The sequence below is a fragment of the Homo sapiens genome, chromosome 4 (genome assembly GCF_000001405.40).
Source record: "Homo sapiens chromosome 4, GRCh38.p14 Primary Assembly".
NCBI lineage: Eukaryota > Metazoa > Chordata > Mammalia > Primates > Hominidae > Homo > Homo sapiens.
This window is the reverse complement of record NC_000004.12, coordinates 67052365-67078289: the sequence shown is the minus strand read 5'-3', so window position 1 is coordinate 67078289 and position 25925 is coordinate 67052365. Positions and strand designations below refer to the sequence as shown.

At 36.6% G+C, this 25925-nt stretch overlaps 1 long non-coding RNA gene across 2 annotated transcripts in view; it reads left to right on the top strand.

The window, feature by feature from the left end:
- The first annotated feature begins 657 nt into the window (after window positions 1-657).
- Window positions 658-25925, top strand: part of LOC105377262 (uncharacterized) — a 214769-nt gene continuing 189501 nt past the window's right edge. For both annotated transcript variants that reach the window (XR_938848.2, XR_938847.2), the window contains exon 1: window positions 658-1001. This is a non-coding gene — a long non-coding RNA (uncharacterized LOC105377262). The remainder of the gene's footprint in view (window positions 1002-25925) is intronic.

Sequence of the window (25925 nt, the reverse complement as noted above, 5' to 3'; positions counted from 1 at the left end):
TTGTATCTGAAAAAAATTAATTGTTCTATAGGAAAATGTATGTATTTCTTGAGGAAATCTGAATAAACAGAGTGTGAGGGTGTGGTAGCTTGTTGCAGAAATGGTCTCAATAATTTACCTCCCTATATGCATGCTCTTACTCTGGGCTTGACAACATGACTTGCTTTGATCAATAAGATAATAGCAGACATGACAAAAACAGACTTGAAAAGTGCATGCTTATTGGTCTTTGCCTCTCTTGCTGTTCTTGGGACCCCTGTGACTATGGCATGAATACACACTAGCAATATAGCTTGCTAGATAATGAGATGCATGAAGCCAGTTCATCTCTGTGGCCTCCACTGATAAACCAACCACTAGACATGAAAGAGATCATCCTACATTATCTTGTTCTAGCTAGCCTGGCCTAGACCAGAAGTACACCCAGCTAACCCATAACATTGTGAGAAATAATATATGTTTATTATTTGAGTCAGTAATTTTGGATATGGTTTGTTATGCAACAAATGCTAATTGATACAAAGGGAGAGAGAAACAAATCAAAACAGAATCAGATCAAATAAAAACAAAGCATTCAAAAGCAATTGTAGATATCCATTTATACCTCCTGAATTCACCAGTGTTTTTTCTAATTCAATATATCATGGATGCCCAAGATGAAGAAAAGAAAAAAAACCAAAAACAAAGTTTTCTTTAAGCTGTAACCCAGGCGTAACTGAGAAGAAATTGCCATACATATTTAAAGATAATAGCTTCTGTTTCTGAAATGTCTCCTCTGCCCCAGACACTGTTTACTTCGTTACCGATTTCATATCATTTATCCTTCATGAGTACTTTGCAAGGGAGGTGTCGGTAAAGTCCTTCAACAGATTTAAATATGAGTCTCAGACAAGTTTATAAACTTGCTGTGGGAAACCTAGCTGCTCAATGAAGGGGCTGAAAAATCCATTCCAGTTCTGACTGCAGTCTTTTGTAACAACACCTTGTCTAAAGACCACCAGGTAAGCAAACAGCAAACTAGGAAATTCCATCATGATTTTGTGGACAGTATCCATCCTAGGCATGGTTATAGTTTTGTACAATGCCTATGACAGCTTTGCTGCAGACAAAAAAGAAAGTCATCAATTATAAAATGAAAAGTCTCTATTTTGATGCAAAATATTTTTATCTGGTTTAAGGGAATTTTACAAACTGAGTATCAGTATTGTTTTTGTTATTGGCAACTATTGATCTCTGACTGTGCCACTCTGTCTCATTAACACTTTTATTACCTTGTCAATCAAAGCCCACCTTGCACCAAAGAGGGACTGAAAGGATTTGCCATTATTAACAAGACTGTCTGGTGCCCAGGAGCAATGAAATCCTGCTGAAAGTATAAGGATAAATCAGCAGGGATTTAGATAGCATTCTAGATGCAGAAAGCAATTCAGAAGTTTAAAAAAGGAGTATTCAAAACTCATTTAAAGAAACAGATTTTTCTCACTTCTTTGACTATTTAGGATTTTAGTTTTTTTAAATAAAACCCTTATTCAAGCAAGTAGAGGTAAAAACTTGTGTTTGTTAAACTCTTTTGGGGCTGATTTTATTGTACAAGTTTGCTGAATTGCATTGGTCTCAGGGCAAAAGTAATATGTAGGCAATAAATGTTTCTTATGTGCATAGCTAATTTTATCATTTCCTCTAATAGTGGCCTATTAGAGCAAACAGATTAGCAGTTAATTGGTATCCTACGAAGAACTATTTTGGCCCTTATTTGCTACTTTTTTTGTTTTCATTAGTGATCTTAGTCAATACCAATACAAAATCTTAGATTCCAATGCTTGCCATTACCTTCTAAAAGTGCTTCATTTAGATTGTCATTACTTGCTAGGTTTTCAACAAATTACACATAAATTCACTCCTTTGGAGATTCCTTTATTTGTCTCATATTTAGCCATCAATAATTTCATGGTCATTACTTTCCCAGTATATAGATATTTTCAAATGTGTGAGCAGCTAATTGTGTTTTGTGTCTTACATTAGCTTAACGAGTATTTATTGAACAGATAAGCTACACAAAATACCAAACTCGGCCAATTAGCGGATTCTTAGATGAAGATAAGATGACTTTGCTAAGGAATTTATACAAGTATCCATAATACAAAGCAGATATGCTGAGTGCCATAAGAATGATATGCCCAAAACTTCACAGGATTCTAATGAAGAGTCAGGTCCCAAGTACTTGAAGGATCAGGAAGATGTCATGGGTTTTAATCCATGGATAAGACTGGTCATGAGGAGATTGTGGCAAAAAGAAATTCAGATAAAAACAGAAGTCTTAGTTTGGGCTGCTGTAACAATATCACAAAAAGAGTGGCTTATAAATAATAAAAATTTATTTCTGGAGTCTGGGAAGTCTAAAATCAAGGCAGATTCTATATTGGGTGAGGGCTTACTTTCTGGCTCCTAGATGGTACCTTTTTTGCTGTGTTCATATGTAGTAGAAGGAACTACTAGTTCTCTGAGATCTCTTTTACAAAGGCACAAATCCTATTCATGAAGGATCCACCCTCATAACCTAATTACCTCCAAAAGCCTCAGCTACTAATGCCATCACCTTGGAGGTTAAATTTCAACATATGAATTTTGGGGGTACACAAACATTTGGACTACAGCAAAATGATAAGTGAACATGTTGTTTGTATGCGTCCATTTGCTGAGGTAGTCTGGAAAACAAAACAAGTACATTGAAGGAGAACATACATGTAGGAATGGCCAGATTCATGAATTTTAATTTTATATACAGTAAGAAACTTCTAAAGATTTTGTATCAGACTATGGCATAATTAGAGATATGCTTTAGGAAAATTAACCCAGCAATGATATATTTCAGAACATCTCCAAGCTCAAACAATGTACAGCATACTTTTAAAGAAACTGCCGTAATTCTCTTGGATTTCTAGCATGGATGCAAATTATTGTTAATACTATATAAAAATGTAAAACTGTAAATTCAGTAAAAATTCTTATGATAAATCTTATAATAATTATAAAATGAAAATAAATATGAAATTAAACACTAATGAGACAGGAAAACTAAGATAATTCATAATAGCAATATTAAATTTTATGTGCTAGATTACCTGGCTGTTCTCAAAGTGAACATGGTACTGACTACTACAGGGCAAATTTTCTTTTACTCAGTCTGCCCATATTCTGCTATGCAGAGTGATCACTCCATTCTCTCATCATATTTCTTTTATTTAAGCTATTGACAAATTTTTGTTTATACAATGTGTTTGTCTTAGAAGGAATGCTTCTTAGCCAGAGAGAATCCTAGTAATTCTGGAGCCAACTTTGATTGGAGGTCAGAAGTTGGGTAGCAGTACTCAATCCTGGGGCTCTTTTAGATAATCCAGAGATTATCTTCTAAAGGAACATAACTTAAAAATATGGCAGGGAATTTGTAGACCTTTGGAAATATTTATACAACCTTCTGTTTTTTTCCTTAAATAGAGCTTGTTTAAGAAGCCATGGCATATAGACTAGTTTGAAGGTAAAGAGAAATAATAGGGTGAACAGTAAGAAGAGTTTTACAGTAGAGACTCTTGACAGATTGAGCCAGGATGATTAAAATATTAATGGAAAGGAATTACTGACTATGAGTAGTTATAGTAAAAGAATCAGTGGGAATTTTCAACCAGTTGCATGTGGGGGTTGGCAAAGATATTGGAATGAAATATAGTTTAGAAATTTCCAAATTGAGTTTAGGGAAATTGTTGCTAACAATTATCAGAAATGATGAATTAAGGGAATTTAATCTGCTGGCTTATATAAGTCCATGCAACAATCGAATAGTGGAATCACCGACGTTATCAGACACAAGTGTTTCCTCATATTCTTTTGGACTCACCTGTCCCCAGGACCCTCAGCCTCTTGTTCCCTTTCTGCCACTGTCATGGATGACTTACTCCATGCATACTTGCATGGTTAAACTGCTTTGGACCTACTAGCCATAGTGTGGGACATAGGATTATGCTTCTCAAGAGGTTGCCAAAGATAGTATGCAACCCAGAACCGTGGGGAGCTATGTTCTAGAGGGACAACTTTGAACAGCAGAATACAGGAGATTGTCAAGACCTGTGAAGAATACTACATTCTTTCTTCTTCCACTGGGCTATTCTGTGGCCCACTTTTTTTTTCCTTATAGCAGCTCTCCAGAGATATTCTGCATGGCTGTACAGATGCACCTGCTGAATGACTAGGGGTATCTCTTCATGACTCCTCTTAAAACAGTGGCTAGTGTAGTAACACATCACCTTGAATTGCTTGCCATTCTTGATGCCTAAATCCATTCTCCCTCACTCTCACTGCCCTGGAATTGCACACGCAAATTGAGCTCTGGTACTTAGTCCGTGCTTTGACTTCTGTTTCCTAGAGAGCTTTTAACTAAATCATGGTAAGAGCTTTTAGTGTTCGGTGTCTGTTTTCATCAGAATAATGTCTCCTGGGGTACTTTATCATCTAGTAAGCATTCTAGTGTCAAAAAAGTAACAAAAATTGACTAAACTCATTTGCTTAGTCATTTATATTTCACTTAACTTATATAGAAAAATTCCCTGAATATTTAAAGCTCAATTTTAATAGATGTATTTCCATTAAATTTTAAAATTTTTATTCTTTTTTTGTATTGATGTCTAAACAACTATAAAGTGAATTTAGACAAATAAATTTGCAGAATCTAGAGATTTTATTGATTACTAAGAAACATTGCCAGTACAGTTGACCATTGAATGACATGAGTTTGAACTATAAGGGTCCACTTTACATGCAGATCTTCTACCTCTGCCATCCCTAAGACAGACAAGCAAGACCAGCCCCTTCTCTTCTTCCTCCTCCTTAGCCTATTCAACATGAAGATGATGAAGATGAAGACTTTTATGAAACCCACTTATGCATAATGAATAGTCAATATATTTTCTCTTCATTATAATTTTCTTAATAACATTTTCTTATCTCTAGTTTACTTTATTGTTAAGAATACAGTATGTAATACATATGCAAAATATGTGTTAGTCACCTGTTTATATACCAGTAAGGCTTCTGGTCAACAGTAGACTATTAGTAAAGTTTTTGGTGAGTCAAAAATTATATATGGCTTTTCGACTGCATGGGAGGGTTGGTGCCCCTAACCTCTGATTTGTTCAAGTGTCAACTGTAATTCTTTCTTCAGTTTTATGGTATAATACCAGGAAAAGAATCTTGGAGTCAAGGACATGGAAATGAATTCTAGTTCCATCATTTACTAATTGTCTGACATTGATTTTCAGTCAATTCCTATGTAAATGAGCATAATAATGTTGCATATCTCAAGGCATAATAGAAAAAATACATATTATTAGCCCATTGTATATAAAATCACCATGTAAATAGTTTTGTTCAGAGAGTTTACATTTCTCTAAGTTACCAGGTTTACTTCACCACCTTTCACCCCCAGATTGCCACCTATGCTATTTTCTCTGAATCATAAACACTTTCTTCTTCTTCAATTACAGTATTAGACCACAATATGGAAATCTGGCCATAATATCCAAATATCATGTTGATATCCATGTTATCTGGTCTAAGTCACTGAGCCTGTTCGTGTTTTTATTTCCTCAAGTACAAAATGTAAATGAGAACACTTGACCTCTCTCTATTGTTTAATGATCTTTGAAAACAATGAGGCAATCATGAAAAAAAGTCATTTTTCAAACACTTTGGAGAGTGTATGCCATTAGTCAAATTATTGTTATTCTTCTACTTATTTTGCAACATTAAAAAACAGCAAACACGAAGAAATAAAAAAACACACCTGACAATCACTATGCCTAAGGACTGAGATGGAAAAAAAAACCTGTAAAAACTAGGATTTTTTTCTTTAATGTAGCAAAATCTCATTTGTATTATCTCTTTTCATTAAACCATTTGACTGATTCTAACAGAAGGATGATCACCCATCCAGTATAGGGAAAAAGCCTATTTGACACTTTTTTAGCCCTCAAGGGCAAATTACCATATGGATATGATTTGATTCATATGTTAACTGGAATGGATATATTTTTCTATTACAAACATGTCTTTATTGACTAAGTGAGTATTACTTTAAGGAAGATTTTTAAAAATATGCTGCCGTAGGAATGAAGGAAAGGGGAGTTGAAATTTGAAAGTTAGCAAATGACTAAATTTGCTAGTTTTTGAAACATTTTAACTTGAGTAAACAAATGTTTTAATGTTTTTATTTTTATAAATGTTTTTCTCTCATGTTATTTCTCCACTCACCACAAGAAGTGTTTTGGGGTCAAGTAATTTATAACGTGTCTAAACATATATTTAAAATAGAAAGTATATGGCAAAATTTCCAGTCACATGTATTAACCTACCAGGAGACAATTTAGCAGTGATTAAGAGCAGTGACCGCGGAGGCAGGCTGACTAGAGTGTTAATCTCCGCACCACCCTTAGCCATGGGACTAAGCATAGTTGCTTAACCTCTTTAAGCCTAAGGACATTTCATTTATAAAAGGAGGATAATGATTATCTTTTTGTAACAGAACTGCTTTAAAAATTAATTTAGTTGAAGTGTGAAGAGGGCTTAGCACAATGCCAGTCACCAGTGCAGAGAGCTATCGTAGCCTGAGGCAAAAGGAAAAATCAGTATACTGTCTTTAGTTATAGACAGTAAGGAGCTTGTCTTTAATTATAATGTTTATATTTTGTTCATCATGGATTTTAGGCATGCATTTGATATTTGAAAGCAGAAACAATAGAAATTCATTTCTCACAGTTCTGGAGGCTGAAAGTCTACATTAGAGTGCCAACACGGCCAAGTTCTGCCAAGGACCCTCTTCTGGGTTGCCGACTACCAAGTTCTTGCTGTGTCCTCACATGGCAGAGGGACTAAGTAGCTCTTAAGTGTCTTTTTCACTTTTTTTTTTTTTTTTTGAGGGGAGATTTCGCTCTTGTTGCCCAGGTTGGAGTGCAGTGGTGTGATCTTAGCTCACTGCAACCTCTGCCCCCTGGGTTCAAGCCATTCTCCTGCCTCAGCCTCCCAAGTAGCTGGGATTATGGGCATGTGCCACAAGGCTCAGCTAATTTTGTATTTTTTTTAGTAGAGGTGGAGTTTCTTCATGTTGGTCAGGCTGGTCTCGAACTCCTGACCTCAGGTGATTGACTCACCTTGGCCTCCCAAAGTGCTGGGATTACAGGCGTGAGCCACCGTGTCCAGCCTGGTGTTTCTTTCACAAGTCCTTGTGGCTGAGTGCCCACCATCCATTCCACCACTAATGACTAGTCCAAGCCAATGGTCATAATCCATTCTCGTTGGCAGTGATCTGTTTAGGAAGAGTCATGTAACCCGATCTTGGCCAAAAGGATGTGCAGGGAAGGCCTGGAAGTTGTATTAGTTGCTGCTGTAATAAATCATGACAAACTGGGTTGCTTAAAACAATAGAAATTTATTTGCTCATAGTTCTGGAGGCCAGAAGTCTGCAATCAAGGTGTCTGTAGGTTTGGTTCCTTCTGGAGACTCTGAGGAAGTATCTGTTTCTTGCCTCCCTCCAAGCTTCTGGTAGTTGGAGGCAATCCTTATTCCTTGGCTTGCAACTACAATCCCCAATCTCTGCCTCTGTCTTCACTGATCTCCCCTGTGTGTCTCCTCTGTCTTTCTGTGTATTCACATGGTTTTCTTATAACAATGCCCATCATTAGATTGAGGGTTCACTCTAATGGAAAATAACCTTGTCCTAAGAAATTGTGTCTTCAAATACCCAATGTTCAAAGAAGGTCACATTCACAGGTATCAGAGGTTAGGACTCAAATATATCTTCTTTGGAGATACAATGCAACCCATTTTAGGGGTGTTCTGGAAAGTTTTCTTGTTCCTAAGTAGGAGATTTGAGAAAATTTAGTTCTTTTTTCTCCTTTGGATATTGTAACGTCTGAATATGATGCCTGAACTTGCTGCCACCACCTTCGTCTTAGGAGATAAAGCCAATAGGCAAAGAAAGACAATTCCTAGAAAAGCACAGAGAAGAGGAGCTAGTGCTAAAGAGAGGTGTTATGTGAGAAGAATCGCTATAGTCTAAACCAGTTTTAGTCAGGATGTCTATTAGTTGCAGCCAATAGCATCTAAATGAGATAATGACACTCAGATTCCTTATTAATCAATCAGGTATGTGGTGATACTTCTTGGGAATACTGAGGAAAAATAGTTCTGGGGATAAGATGTCACAAATATGTATACATGTATGTATATACGTATGTATTTGTCTATATATCAAGAAACAATGATACTTACCTTCTGACATAATGTTACTTTTTTCCATGGAAAATATATGATCAAATGACTGTTGTTCATGACTTGTAAAATTTATTTTAATTTAGGAGTTTCTCTATGGGGTATTCCATCTCCAGCCAACTTAAAGTAAATTTATGATTCTGCATGACACTTGTGAACTTTGACCAACTTGGAACTCTGCTGTCAACAGAACTTTCACTGAAGATTCTGAAGGTCTCCCTGTGAGATCTGTAGTGCAATCACAGCCATATGTATGCAATCACTTAGTTCTAAGTACGGAAAACTGAGGAGTTTGACAAGGAGGCCGCTCTCTGAGAGAGGTGATGAGAGCTTGATTTAGATCAGTGGAAGTGATATTGAAAAGGATGAATAGACTTTCAAACGGGGAATTTAAAGTTCTTGAAATATGATTGGTAAATGGAAATAGACAAGGTATACAGAAGAGCCAAATCTGATGCCAAGTGTTTGAACCCCTCCACGCGTCGTCCCTTCTTAACACGCTGTCAAAACCAATCAAGCACACCAGGCATGTAAAATTGGTTTGAGAACACTTTGTTTGATGTGATGTTCCAGCTCTTCTTTGATTTTCTTTCCCGGATAATAAAAAAGGGAAATCATTTTTATTTAGCTTGTATGTTAATTTTTGCAATGCTTGGATCCAGATGGAATAACAATGGGTTCCCTTTAATCTCCCATTAACCTCCAAATATCTTTAAAAATGTGTTGATTATTTCTAACAGTTGGGCTTTCTTAATGGTTTGAATGATTTGGATATGGCTTGATGGTAGGTCTCATTAAATCATGAAGAAAAATAGCATTTTCATAGAAATCGTACTGCACATTTAATTAAGTTACAGAGATAGCAACTAATGATTAGCATAATTCTTAAGACTATGTATAATAATGTCAATTTGTATGACAAAATTTATTTTCATGAAAATACCATCTTATTTTTGACATACTGTAAATTGTTTTAACTTTAATTTTTGCATCTAAGTCCATTTCTGAGAACTATTAAGAGCAGTGTACATGAAAATCCAGTAAACATAGATTGGGTACCACTCTGTACTTTTTTTCCCAATTTTTAAAATTGTGGTAAAATTCACATTACATAAATTTTACCCTCTTAATTAATTTTAAGTACACAGTTGAGTAATATTAAATACATTTATAATATTGTGCAACCATTATGGTCATCCATCTCCAGAACTCTTCATTTGTAAAACTACAACTCTATACCCATTAAACAATACTTTTCGCTTCTCTCCTATCCCCAATCCCTGGCAACCTCTATTCTCCTTTCTGTCCTTGTGACTTTGACCACTCTAAGTACCTCATGCAAGGGAAATGACAGAGTATTTTTGTTTTTGTGACTGACATGTTTCATATAGTGTAGTATCTTCAAGCTTCAGCTAATGTTGTGGCATATGTTAGAATTTCCTTCTAATTGGGGGGAGGAGCCAAGATGGCCAAATAGGAACAGCTCTGGTCTACAGCTCCCAGCGTGAGCGACGCAGAAGATGGGTGATTTCTGCATTTCCATCTGAGGTACCGGGTTCATCTCACTAGGGAGTGCCAGAAAGTGGGCGCAGGACAGTGGGTGCAGCGCACTGTGCGACAGCCGAAGCAGGGCGAGGCATTGCCTCACTCGGGAAGTGCAGGGGATCAGGGAGTTCCCTTTCCTGGTCAAGGAAAGGGGTGACAGACGGCACCTGGAAAATCAGGCCACTCCCACCCGAATACTGCACTTTTCCGATGGGCTTAAAAAACGGCGCACCAGGAGATTATATCCTGCACCTGGCTGAGAGGGTCATACGCCCACGGAGTCTTGCTGATTGCTAGCACAGCAGTCTGAGATCAAACTGCAAGGTGGCAGTGAGGCTAGGGGAGGGGCATCCGCCATTGCCCAGGCTCACTTAGGTAAACAAAGCAGCCGGGAAACTCGAACTGGGTGAAGCCCACCACAGCTCAAGGAGGCCTGCCTGCCTCTGTAGGCTCCACCTCTAGGGGCAGGGCGCAAAGAAACAAAAAGACAGCAGTAACCTCTGCAGACTTAAATGTCCCTGTCTGACAGCTTTGAGGAGAGCAGTGGTTCTCCAAGCACGCAGCTGGAGATCTGAGAAGGGGCAGACTGCCTCCTCAAGTGGGTCCCTGACCTCTGACCCCCGAGCAGCCTAACTGGGAGGCACCCCCCAGTAGGGGCAGACTGACACCTCACACAGCCAGGTACTCCTCTGAGACAAAACTTCCAGAGGAAGGATCAGACAGCAGCATTTGCGGATCATGAAAATCCGTGGTTCTGCAGACACCGCTGCTGATACCCAGGCAAATAGGGTCTGGAGTGGACCTCTAGCAAACTCCAATAGACCTGCAGCTGAGGGTCCTGTCTGTTAGAAGGAAAACTAACAAACAGAACGGACATCTACACCAAAAACCCATTTATACATCACCATCATCAAAGACCAAAAGTAGATAAAACCACAAAGATGGGGAAAAAACAGAGCAGAAAAACTGGAAACTCTAAAAAGCAGAGCGCCTCTCCTCCTCCAAAGGAATGCAGTTCCTCACCAGCAGCGGAACAAAGCTGGACGGAGAATGACTTTGACGAGTTGAGAGAAGAAGGCTTCAGACAGTCAAACCACTCCGAGCTACAGGAGGAAATTCAAACCAAAGGCAAAGAAGTTGAAAACTTTGAAAAAAATTTAGACGAATGTATAACTAGAATAACCAATACAGAGAAGTGCTTAAAGGAGCTGATGGAGCTGAAAGCCAAGGCTCGAGAACTATGTGAAGAATGCAGAAGCCTCAGGAGCTGATGTGATCAACTGGAAGAAAGGGTATCAGTGATGGAAGATGAAATGAATGAAATGAAGTGAGAAGGGAAGTTTAGAGAAAAAAGAATAAAAAGAAATGAACAAAGCCTCCAAGAAATATGGGACTAGGTGAAAAGACCAAATCTGCGTCTGATTGGTGTACCTAAAAGTGACGGGGAGAATGGAACCAAGTTGGAAAACACTCTGTAGGATATTATCCAGGAGAACTTCCCCAATCTAGCAAGGCAGGCCAACATTCAGATTCAGGAAATACAGAGAACACCACAAAGATACTCCTCGAGAAGAGCAACTCCAAGACACATAATTGTCAGATTCACCAAAGTTGAAATGAAGGAAAAAATGTTAAGGGCATCCAGAGAGAAAGGTCGGGTTACCCACAAAGGGAAGCCTATCAGACTAACAGCAGATCTCTTGGCAGAAACCCTACAAGCCAGAAGAGAGTGGGGGCCAATATTCAACATTCTTAAAGAAAAGAATTTTCAACCCAGAATTTCATATCCAGCCAAACGAAGCTTCATAAGTGAAGGAGAAATAAAATCCTTTACAGACAAGCAAATGCTGAGAGATTTTGTCACCACCAGGCCTGCCCTAAAAGAGCTCCTGAAGGAAGCGCTAAACATGGAAAGGCACAACCGGTACCAGCCGCTGCAAAATCATGCCAAAATGTAAAGACCATCGAGACTAGGAAGAAACTGCATCAACTAACGAGCAAAATCACCAGCTAACATCATAATGACAGGATCAAATTCACACATAACAATATTAACTTTAAATGTAAATGGACTAAATGCTCCAATTAAAAGACACAGACTGGCAAATTGGATAAACAGTCAAGACCCATCAGTGTGCAGTATTCAGGAAACCCATCTCACGTGCAGAGACACACATAGGTTCAAAATAAAAGGGTGGAGGAAGATCTACCAAGCATATGGAAAACAAAAAAAGGCAGGGGTTGCAATCCTAGTCTCTGATAAAACAGACTTTAAACCAACAAAGATCAAAAGAGACAAAGAAGGCCATTACATAATGGTAAAGGGATCAATTCAACAAGAAGAGGTAACTGTCCTAAATATATATGCACCCAATACAGGAGCACCCAGATTCATAAAGCAAGTCCTGAGTGACCTACAAAGAGACTTAGACTCCCACACAATAATAATGGGAGACTTTAACACCCAACTGTCAACATTAGACTGATCAACGAGACAGAAAGTTAACCAGGATACCCAGGAATTGAACTCAGCTCTGCACCAAGTGAACCTAATAGACATCTACAGAACTCTCCACCCCAAATCAACAGAATATACAGTTTTTTCAGCACCACACCACACCTATTCCAAAATTGACCACATAGGTGGAAGTAAAGCTCTCCTCAGCAAATGTAAGAGAACAGAAATTATAACAAACTGTCTCTCAGACCACAGTGCAATCAAACTGGAACTCAGGATTAAGAAACTCACTCAAAACCACTCAACTATGTGGAAACTGAACAACCTGCTCCTGAATGACTACTGGGTACATAATGAAATGAAGGCAGAAATAAAGATGTTCTTTGAAACCAATGAGAACAAAGACACAACCTACCAGAATCTCTGGGACACATTCAAAGCAGTGTTTAGAGAGAAATTTATAGCACTAAATGCCCACAAGAGAAAGCAGGAAATATCCAAAATTGACACCCTAACATCACAATTAAAAGAACTAGAAAAGCAAGAGCAAACACGTTCAAAATCTAGCAGAAGGCAAGAAATAACTAAAATCAGAGCAGAACTGAAGAAAATAGAGACAGAAAAATCCCTTCAAAAAATCAATGAATCCAGGAGCTGGTTTTTTGAAAAGATCAACAAAATTGATAGACCGCTAGCAAGACTAATAAAGAAAAAAAGAAGAATCAAATAGACGTAATAAAAAGTGATAAAGGGGATATCACCACTGATCCCACAGAAATACAAACTACCATCAGAGAATACTACAAACACCTCTACGCAAATAAACTAGAAAATCTAGAAGAAATGGATACATTCCTCGACACATACACTCTCCCAAGACTAAACCAGGAAGAAGTTGAATCTCTGTATAGACCAATAACAGGATCTGAAATTGTGGCAATAATCAATAGCTTACCAACCAAAAAGAGTCCAGGACCAGATGGATTCACAGCCGAATTCTACCAGAGGTACAAGGAGGAACTGGTACCATTCCTTCTGAAACTATTCCAATCAATAGAAAAAGAGGGAATCCTCCCTAACTCATTTTATGAGGCCAGCATCATCCTGATGCCAAAGCCTGGCAGAGACACAACCAAAAAAGAGAATTTTAGACCAATATCCTTGATGAACATTGATGCAAAAATCCTCAATAAAGTACGGGCAAACCAAATCCAGCAGCACATCAAAAAGCTTATCCACCATGATCAAGTGGGCTTCATCCCTGGGATGCAAGGCTGGTTCAATATAGGCAAATCAATAAATGTAATCCAGCATATAAACAGAACCAAAGACAAAAACCACATGATTATCTCAATAGATGCAGAAAAGGCCTTTGACAAAATTCAACAACCCTTCATGCTAAAAACTCTCAATAAATTATGTATTGATGGGATGTATTTCAAAATAATAAGAGCTATCTATGACAAACCCACAGCCAATATCATATTGAATGGGCAAAAACTGGAAACATTCCCTTTGAAAACTGGCACAAGACAGGAATGCCCTCTCTCACCACTCCTATTCAACATAGTGTTGGAAGTTCTGGCCAGGGCAATTAGGCAGGAGAAGGAAATAAAGGGTATTCAATTAGGAAAAGAGGAAGTCAAATTGTCCCTGTTTGCAGACGACATGATTGTATATCTAGAAAACCCCATTGTCTCAGCCCAAAATCTCCTTAAGCTGATAAGCAACTTCAGCAAAGTCTCAGGATACAAAATCAATGTACAAAAATCACAAGCATTCTTATACACCAATAACAGACAAACAGAGAGCCAAATCATGAGTGAACTCCCATTCAGAATTGCTTCAAAGAGAATAAAATACTTAGGAATCCAACTTCCAAGGGAGGTGAAGGACCTCTTCAAGGAGAACTACAAACCACTGCTCAATGAAATGAAAGAGGATACAAACATGCTCATGTGTAGGAAGAATCAATATTGTGAAAATGGCCATACTGCCCAAGGTAATTTATAGATTCAATGCCATCCCCATCAAGCTACCAATGACTTTCTTCACAGAATTGGAAAAATCTACTTTAAAGTTCATATGGAACCAAAAAGCGCACATCGCCAAGTGAATCCTAAGCCAAAAGAACAAAGCTGGAGGCATCTCACTACCTGACTTCAAACTATACTACAAGGCTACAGTAACCAAAACAGCATGGTACTGGTACCAAAACAGAGATATAGACCAATGGAACAGAACAGAGCCCTCAGAAATAATGCCGCATATCTACAACTTTCTGATCTTTGGCAAACCTGAGAAAAAGAAGCAATGGGGAAAGGATTCCCTATTTAATAAATGGTGTTGGGAAAACTGGCTAGCCATATGTAGAAAGCTTAAACTGGATCCCTTCCTTACACCTTATACAAAAATTTATTCAAGATGGATTAAAGACTTAAACATTAGACCTAAAACCATAAAAACCCTAGAAGAAAACCTAGGCATTACCATTCAGGACATAGGCATGGGCAAGGACTTCATGTCTGAAACACCAAAAGCAATGGCAACAAAAGCCAAAATTGACAAATGGGATCTACTTAAACTAAAGAGCCTGTGCACAGCAAAAGAAACTACCATCAGAGTGAACAGGCAACCTACAAAGTGGGAGAAAATTTTTGCAATGTACTCATCTGACAAAGGGCTAATATCCAGAATCTACAATGAACTCACACAAATTTACAAGAAAAAAACAACCCCATCAAAAAGTGGGCAAAGGATATGAACAGACACTTCTCAAAAGAAGACATTTATGCAGCCAGAAGACACATGAAGAAATGCTCATCATCACTGGCTATCAGAGAAATACAAATCAAAACCACAATGAGATACCATCTCACACCAGTTAGAATGGCCATCATTAAAAAGTCAGGAAACAACAGGTGCTGGAGAGGATGTGGAGAAATAGGAACACTTTTACACTGTTGGTGTGACTGTAAACTAGTTCAACCATTGTGGAATTCAGTGTGGCGATTCCTCAGGGATCTAGAACTAGAAATACCATTTGACCCAGCCATCCCATTACTGGGTATATACCCAAAGGACTATAAAACATGCTGCTATAAAGACACATGCACACGTATGTTTATTGTGGCACTATTCACAATAGCAAAGACTTGGAACCAACCCAAATGTCCAACAATGATAGACTGGATTAAGAAAATGTGGCACATATACACCATGGAATACTATGCAGCCATAAAAAATGATGAGTTCATGTCCTTTGTAGGGACATGGATGAAATTGGAAATCATCATTCTCAGTAAACTATCGCAAGGACAAGAGACCAAACACCGCATGTTCTCACTCATAGATGGGAATTGAACAATGAGAACACATGGACACAGGAAGGGGAACATCACACTCTGGGGACTGTTGTGGGGTGGGGGGAGAGGGGAGGGATAGCATTAGGAGATTTACCTAATGCTAAATGACGAATTAATGGGTGCAGCCCACCAGCATGGCACATGTATACATATGTAACAAACCTGCACATTGTGCACATGTACCCTAAAACTTAAAGTATAATAATAATAAAAAAAATAAAAAAAAAGATTTCCTTCTAATTTAAGGCTGAATAATATTCCACTGTATATATATACCACATTTTGCTTATTAATTCATCCATCCACTTATGAACATTTGTTGCTTCCTCATTTTAGCTAGTGTGAATAGTGCTGTTATAAACATGGGTGTACAAATATCTCTTTAAGATCTTGCTTTTAATTCTTTTGGGTATATGCCCAGAAGTGGAATTGCTGGATCATATGGAAGTTTTATTTTTAAGTTTTTGAGGAATCTCCATAATGTTTTTCATAGTGGCTGTACCATCTTACATTTCCACCAGCAGTGAACAAGGGTTCTAATTTTTCCTCATCTCCATCAACAGTTGTTATTTGTGTGTGTGTGTGTGTGTGTGTATGTATGTGTGCTGATAGGAGCCATGTCAATGGGTTTGAGGTGGTAATATGCATTTTTAAATGTATATTTCTGCTAAAACCCATGCTTTCTTGCTGCTGCAGGGGTTTTGTTCTATCAATAATTTCCTTGTTTTCCTGTATGTTTACCATTCTACCTTCTCTTCCTCTTTGTCCTCAGTATATACATATGTTCTGCTATTGTTCATACTTTAAAATTTCTTCCATGAACTTCTGCTTCCTTAATCCAATTTTTTCATTTTTAAAAAAAAATTCACTCATTTTATTTATGCAACAAATACTCACTCAGCACCTATTATATAACTCACTCAGCATGTTCTAGGTCCTGTAGATAAAACAGTAAATGAAGCAGATAAAAGTCCCTGCTCTGATATAGCAGCTACTGTTGTAGTGTGTAGAGATAAATGATAAATTAAAGATGAATAAAACAGGTAGAATATTACCTGATGATAAGTGCTATGGAAAAAGAAAAAAGCAGGGAATGGGTGTAGAGAGAGATTAAGGGATGAAAGAGGAGTTTGGAATTTTATATTGCTCAAGGAAGACCTCAGTGTAAGAGTGCTATTTGAGCAAAGACCTGAAGTAAATGAAGAAAAAAATTACAGAGATATCAGATGGAAGTAGCAATTCAAGCAGCGGGAACAACATGCATAAAGGTCCTGAGGTAATACTATATTTGGCATATTTGAGGAATATAAGGGGGGCAGAGTGGTTGGGAACTGAATGAGGAAAGTGGGCAGTTGTAGAATTTGAACTCAATAAGATGGTAGTAGGGGGTATATTACATAGGGTTTTGTGATTATTGCAAAGATTTTGAGTGAAAGGAAAGTTATACTGTGAGTTTTGATTACAGAAGTAATATTTTAACTAAAAAGTACTTGCTGCTATGGCAAATATGCTATAGAAGGGAACAGAGTAAGTGGAATGGCTAATTAGGAGACTTTATTAACTACCTAGAAAAGGGATGGTAGTCGCTTAGATTAGAATGGCATTGGAGGGGATAAATAGCAGTGAGATACTGATACATTTTCAAGGTAGAGGTGACACAACTTCTTGATGAATTTAATGTGGAGGGATGCAAGTGTCATTTTATTCAAAACAGTTGTTCACATATGCTGGATTTTGTTTTCACCTCTTAATCATTTCTTCAATTTGCTGCACTCTGGGTTTTTGGTTGTTTTGCTTCTGTTTGCTCCTACACTCCCCCTGAAAATCCTTTAAAGAAAATAATGGCCAGGCACAGTAGCTAACACTTGTAATCCCAGCATCTTGGGAAACTGAGGTGAGAGGATTGTTTGCATCTGGGAGTTTGAGATCAGCCTGGGCAACATAACAAAACCCTGTCTCTACAAAAAATAAAAAATTAGAAGGGTATGGTGGCATGCCCTGTAGTCCCAGATACTCAGGAGGCTGAGGCAGAAGGATTGCTTGAGTCTAGGAGGTCAAAGCTGCAGTGAGCCATGATTGTGCTACTGCACTTGGCCTGGACAACAGAGCAAGACCCTGTTTCAAAAACAAAACAAAACAAAACAAAACAACGTTATGAAAACTAGTAGGTGCTTCTTGCCTTGATGTTATATGTCTACTCTGTAGCATTTGGTGGTTCATCCTCCCTCCTTATTTAAACTCTCTACGTCTTTGACCCCATGGGGGATCTCAGTTTCTCTTGGTATGACAAATTCTACTGCTATAATTTTTCTTTTTTTTTTCAGGAAACTAAATGGGCTTCTCTTTTTCAGGAGTTTGCTCAATATTACTCTTTCAGTGAGGCCTTTTCAGAACTACTAATATAAAATTGCAAACTCCCTCTTCCCTGTAACTCTCTATATTAATAGAGATTAGCGAAGTTCCATTTCTAATTTTCATCATTAATCACTGCTCAGAGTTTTAACTTCATAATATCATTTGATGATGTTAGGAGGATTGGTCCATATTATACAGAGATGATGTTGGCCTTTTTCCCTGCAACTGTGGGAATCTTGGATTGCTATTGTCATTATTTTTAGTATTGGAATATTATAATTGTAATATAATATGCTATATATATAGGCTTTTTACAATGAAACCCTCAAATGGGCCTCTTGACTAAGTTATAGTTAATGCTAATAATGGTCCAATAGTAGATAGCAAACAGTGAAACTCTATCAACAGTAGATAGTAAACAGTGAAACTCAAAAACGAAAGAGTCACCTTTAACATAAATATTGGTTTTCTATTACACAGAGAGCACAGAGTTCCTTATTAATTGAAGAACTATTTCTTGAGCAAGATATTTACCCTCTCCGCGTCACACTTTCAACTTTAATAGCTTTAAGATTGTTTACTGAACAGAATTATTATAGCAATTAAATACATTGTCATGTAAAATCTATAGTTTGACAAAGAGTTGTTAAGTTCCTCCATGATTCAAGTGACATAGTTATAGATGATCTGGTTAAGGTGACAAATCTTAAAACAAACCATTACTGAACATTTATAAAATATTCTTTTAAAAGTTGACAGAGCTAGAGGAGGGATAAGTGAGTTAAAATCTTCCTTGAGGAGATGCTGCTTTGGTTGAGTCTTAAAGTCAAGATGTTACTGGGTTTGTACAAAAGTAATTGCGGTTTTGGCCATTAACAGTAATGGCAATTACTTTTGCACCAAACTAATAGTTTGACAAGGTTGGATAAAGGACCCAAATCAAACTAACACACATGAAATAATAATCACAGCATGAAATAATGTCTCATTCATGTTGTAGGAAGCTCAGTACTGAAATAAAGCATTTAAAGAAGTTGCAAGACTGAGAATAAAGATTTAGATAGTGGTTTGCGTGGTAAACTAAGCTGAACTGAATTTTTAGGTTTACTATGAAGGGACAGAGAATTAATGGGATTATTTCAATAATTTTGAAAGGTCACTTAAGGAGCAGTCAAGTGGATGAATTAAAGGGAGGCTAAGCTGGAGAACAGGGAGAATTCTAATTACGTAAATCAAGAAAAAAATGATGACACCTGAATTGAACAGCAGTGACACAAGTGATATAAATGTGAGGTATATGAGGTAGAATAGACTGACCTTGGTGACTGACTGAAGGTTTGTTTTAGAGCCTGGGTAAAGGAAACCACTCACTAAACATTAGGAACTAAAATGGGAGAAATCAGAGTCCAGGGTGAAGAAAGATTCTTGTTTTTCAACATGTTGCATTTGAGATCTCATGAAAGGTCCAGTGATCTTGGATAAAAATGAAATTTTTTAACATGGCTCTCAAGACTGCATGGTCTTGTCTCTCCAGGCTCGTTCATGTGATGATGCTCCTTGTTGCTCTCTGTTGGAACAGCACAGGCCTTCTTCTCATTTCTTTTTTCACCATCATAGCATCTTTTTACATAATATTCCCTCAGCCTGGATTACCCTTCCTTCCCTTCATTGCTTAGTTTATTCCTACTTATATGTTACAATTCAGTTTCAGACTCAATTGCTTAGGGAAGCCTCTTCTGATTTCCTTAACAAGATTAAATCCAGTAAATTTTCAAAACATTCTCAGAGTTCCTCAAGGCTATCTCTATTGTGGAAGACAAATGGATATTGAGTAGTCAAAATACAACAGCTTTTTTTTTTTTTTTTTGAGATGGAGTCTCCCTTTGTTGCCAATCTGGAGTGCAGTGGCATGATCAACAGATTTTTTTAACATCTTTTATCTTATTCACCCCTATGTGTCTAGTCTCTGGCTTTCAGAAATTCCTTGTTCACATCATTCTCTGCAAACTATCACAAGATCAGAAAACCAAATACCGGATGTTCTCACTCATAAGTGGGAGTTGAACAATGAGAACACATGGACATAGAAAGGGGAACATCACACACCAGGGCCTGTGGCGGGTGGGGGGCTAGCAGAGGGATAACATCAGGAGAAATATCTAATGTAGGTGACGGGTTGATGGGTGCAGCAAACCACCATGGCATGTGTATACCTATATAACAAAACTGCTCACTCTCTCCTTGTAACCCAGAACTTAAAGTATAATAATAATAATAATAATAATAATAAATTCCTGATTCAAACCATGCTAATGTTGATCGCAATAGAAATTCAGAGGAAGATGCTGGATCTGAGAAATATCCCAAGGGAAATGACATGACTTGATGCTTAAAAGGATCTGGATATTATATCTAGATTTTTCTTCCTAGGTGACTAGAATGATGATAGTAATATTGACAGAAGGAGGGGAACCAGGAAAGTGAGTTGATTTTTCAGGAAATATGATTAAAAGTAAATGTGAACATTGAGAAAATTATAAAGGACCCTATGCTAACTGTGAGATTGATAAATTCTATCAACTACACTTCTTCATTAAAATTTAATGAAAACTTTGTAGCTTGTTAATGATTCCTTTCTTCAGTGAGGTATATGATTGATCGACAAGGAAGGTATTTCTATGAAATTGGTAGCTGCTTGTACCTTCCAACCCCTTTTTTTAATCAGACCTGCTAAAGAAAATATTAGTTGAAAGAAGTCATTTTAGGTAACAATTTTGTTTTCTTTCATAATTGGCAGTATTAACTAACCTATTAGGCAGGTTATTGTGATGTAAGTTATTAAGACACATTAGGAGTTTTATTGTACCGTGATGTGCTCAGCAGACATGACCTCTTGCTCCACTTTTCCAAACATCTGTTCTTCAGAGTTCACTCGTAATGTCACTATCTAATTAGACTCTAGCAGCATGAAAGTTTTTTGTTAAATATAAAGTGGTTATAATAAACCCTGACATTGGAAAACTAGAGACTTGACTTAAATGAAAAAGGTTATCTCTAAGTTTAAGTCTCATTAGTAAGTAGATAATGCTACCTTTTGACCAAGCCTGTTTTGTTAAAGGATTAAAGATTACTCACACAATATTTTTAAAGGAGAAAAATGATATAGAAAAGCCACAGGAAGGGCTATGATGCAGGTTTATTCCACCTATTATAGTAACTGTTCAACTGCAATAGCCTTGAAATTTACAAAAAACAAAACCAAAAATTGTAGCTCTGTGTGCTTGTTCACATACATGTGAAGCATGTGAGTGTATACATTTATGCATACATGTGCAAAAAAGTATTTGGTATAAGAATATAGGTGGGAAATTATCATAATACATAAGAAAAGCACAAATAAAAACACAAGAAAAGAACAAAGAAAATATATAAATGATTAGTAAAACTTGCCTTAGAAGGCTCATGCAACTTTGCCACCAATAACCCAGAAAAAGATAGTGTTTCCAGGATCAATTGATCTTCCACAGGGTTGGTTCTGATGCTTCCACATAGTGGTAATGGCTATTTCAAAGCCTTCATTAATATTACATTCATATCTAATGCTAATTTTCACTAAGTTTCCCAACATTTTTGGGAATGGCTTACTACACAATCACTCAAAGATAACATAGTCATGATCATACTGACTCTCATTTACTAACATTTACCATCCAATATTTGAAGTAACATATTTTAAAGTTTTTTGTGACTTGTCACGTGTTTAAAATTCACTGCTATTTGGCTGTAAAAGTTAAGTTCCTATTGGAAAATAATTTTAAACAAAATTACTATAACCCTATAATCAGATTACAGAACTCTGCTTCCCAAATATACATTTATTAATTTAACAAATATCTGTAAGCAACTGTCATAGGATAAAACATGTCAAATAGACATTTGATCTCTGTCTTTTTCTGTTTAAAATATTTTTTACTAGTAGTTTATGTAGGGAAGCCTAGGGTTTAATGCTATCCTTGTATATTATGTTTTTTTCTCCCCCAACAATAGGCCTCTCAGACCTAATGGGATTTAGAACAAAACTTAGAATTTATACAATCTAATTTAGAATAAATTGATGTGTTCTTTAATATTTATAGTCAGTATTGTTGGTATTAATAGGGAGGAAATTATTATTTATTCATTCAGTTTATCATGAATTTTCCACATACTTATAGAGACTTTCACACTGACATATTTTTCTCCAACATTAACAAAATCTAGAAATCTGTTCAAGTTTCTTCAGATACTGTCATCATGATATATTCTGAAACATATCAAAACCATTTGTGATTCCTTTAGCTGTGGTGCAGACTGTTGAATGAATATACACTTACGAGAATATGTATCAAGTAACAAGTATTTTACCTTCAAAATAAGTTTGGGTTTTTACCCGAAGATCTCATAATCGTTACAAAAATAAATCCCAGGAATATTTGTGTAAATTATTTCCAGCTTGAATTAATAGTAGATTTAGAAGTGAGGAGGGTAAAAGAATAGCAAGGTTATTCAGGGGTCTCAACAATTAAATGTCTCATAAAAAGGATTCTTTCCTACACATGTTCTTACTCACTGCACATTGCACACAGATGATTCTAATCACCATTACTCAAATCACCTGATGCCTCAATTACCTTGGCTTCAATGAGCACATTCCAAATGCCAGAGCACCCATATACCTACTCAGATAATAGGCTGCCAATTAAGTTATCTTTCTCTGGAAACGTATTATGGCAGCTCAGTGAATATAATATCATTAGTGCCCTTATATCATCATAAGCTGGGCAGTTGCTGACACCGCATGGATATAACTGCTAGGCGATCAAAGTAGCCTCTCAATTACAATAGCCTTGAAATTAAAAAAAAATCTATAGCTATGAGTGGCTTGTTTACATATATGTGAAGCATGTAAGTGTGAGTGTATGCATTTATGCATATGTGTACATCTTTTGTATAAAAGTGTAGGTGAGGAAAATTGTCATAATACATAAGGAAAGCACAAATACCTAGAAAGAAGATATATAAATTATTTGTAAAAATTGCCTTAGAAACCTCAGGCAAGTTGGCCACCAGTAAAAATGACATCAATTGTAGCTGTGGTCAGTACTACTGTAACATGGAGCACTTCCAGACTGGATTACTCCTTGTAAAAATATTCTCTAAATTATGATGTTTATCTAGTTTTGTTCCACAGAGTTACTGGAAATTAAGATTTTTAACTAGAAACTCTAAGAAAGTTTTAAAAGAATTTTTGAGAATGACTAAACCCTCACTCTATAATTAGAAGTACATACTTTTTTTAGAAAGTTGAACATGAAGTTATACAAAAATTACAAATGCTATTTGCTGAGATTCGAATGTAAATTAGAGTCATTCATTCCTATTAATTCATTTATTTAATTCATCCTTATTAAGGAGCTGGTGAAAGCCATCAGGAGAATAATTTGTTGACAATACTTTTCCTAGAGTGTCAGGGAAGAGAGTATGATAAAGGAGTAATTTTGACTGGGTCAGAATCTTGTTTTTACCATCATTTATCCTTGGGCAAATTTCTTGGCCACTCTAAGCAACAATTTCTTCATTCATAAAACAAGCATTAAAATAAGTACCCACTGCAATAGATTTATTGTGAGGATTAAATAAGGCAATGAATATAAATTGTTTAGCAGAGTGTGTGGAAAATAGAAATAATAAATGATAATTTTTATTTCTACAGTTATTGATATTTTAAATTATTCTTAAATTGTTCAAGTTGTACTGATTCTTTTTAGTGGTTCTTATATAAAATTAGCCTGTGCTTATTTCTTAAACTACTTAGATTAGAGCCATTATTACAATCCACTATTTACTTTTACATATGTTAATGTTTCCCTGTAGTAAAGTATTTATCAATTGTATTAATAAGGAGGATTGCATTCTACAAAGTGTCTGCTGTTTTACTATTTTATTTTGTTTGGGGTTTATTTGTTTAATTTATTTATGTATTTATTTATTTATTTATTGAAGCTCCAGCTCTGTTTTTTAAAGTAATCTCCTGGTCTGGTGGCATATTTGTTCAGTTCCTTTGTTCTCTGCTGGAGTACAGCAAAAGAAAGAGTGCTTAGAATACCTTTTAGAGGGAGTAACTTCCTAATTGAGAATTTCATTAAATAATTTGTTACCCTTTTAGTATCCCATCCCCCACCAGAGTTTAGAATTTATAACATTTCCAAATTAAACCATTTACTTCACTCTCTTGGCTGCAGCAGTTCAATGTATTCTTGTGACTTAAGATATTCACAATATGCCTAGTTAACCATTTTGTATTCAATATTGTATAGGCGTACTTCAACTTTTCTCCTACAATTTATATTCCATATAATAAGATATCTTAAATATATCTAGCCACAACAACAAAACTGTACAATAAAATATTTAAGAGAAGAGTAATTCTAAAAATAAGCACAAATTCTTAAAAACTAAGATTAATTTTATAGTATTTTTCCTTGCACTACTAAGCTATACACAAAGTTTTTAAATATCATATTTGGGCAGATTCGACCAGCCCTACTTAAGATAAAGAGGTTTTCTAACACAAGACTGAATATATTTAGACATGATTTAGTTATGTAGGCATACAGTGTGGCAAAATCATTTGTTAAATAAATATCTTTACCGTATGCCATAAAACATGGCACAGTCCAGCTAAGGCAGAAAGCCCTTTCATTATGGACTGTAAAGGAGATACTGCAGTGCTAGATCATGAATCACTGTGACCTGTAGAAGAGCATTCTCTCCGCTGCAATTAGAAACACTACTGATTACGTGGCCCTAATACCAATCAGCATGGCTGAAACTAGAATATGGCTAGAAAAATAATGACTGGAACATTGGTTTCCACTAAACGATCATATTAAAAACACAATATGAGATTCAGTATTCTGTAAAAAGAATGTCTTGAAAAAGCTCTATGTGGAAATCAAATGCTTATCAGAGAAATCAGGGGAAACGGTGTTGTGGGGAATCAGAAGAAGCTGTTTCCTCATCAGATTTGGCTTTCATGCTTGCGCTTGAGAGCTCTTGTAAAGCAAGTCATGCGGAACATGGAGAGACAAGAACAAAAATATAGATCCCACGAGGCAGTTCCTCTTTAAAACTATTTCATCAGCAATAATTTAGGACGCTATTCTGAATCTTATAGGGCATGGCAGTACTATTCCTGGGACAAGTGGAAACATACTTTACCTAATCTTGATTTATGCCCCTAAGCATAGAAAGGACTGGCCTTCACTCTGCTGAATCCCCTCACACTTCCTTTGGTGCTCATGCGTGAAAGTCTGAACTCCAGCTAAATTCCCCCTATGGCCATATGGTATTTGGAACATCTGACTATTTTTTCAAAAATAGTGGAATACCAAAATAATAGAGAAACAAGTAGAATCCTTTGCTGAAAGCAATATTAAATGTTGATAGTAAAAGGAAAGCTAATATTTTCTGAAGTCAGTTTCAGAGGACTTCTCTTTATGTTTGACCTGCATTTTCAGATAATATGGACCAGTGATGTTGCAATTCATTCCAGCCTCATAAAGATGAAGGTGAGGTATTGGAAGTCACTAAAAGGCACAGGAGGCAAGCATGGGAGAAGAGCCAAATCTCAGCTTTGTAACTAATATGCTGGATCATGAAAAAGTATCAAATTGAACCTATTCCTATGGAAGGTTTCCTGAGGGTCAGAACTCATTCAGGAGGCCCATTACTCTGATAGGAACTTATACAATCTTGAAGAAGGAAGGCAGGTACACTGCATATTAAATTCATCCTTGGGTAGGGACCTTAATTTTGGAATTCTAAAAGGGACACACATATTTTTT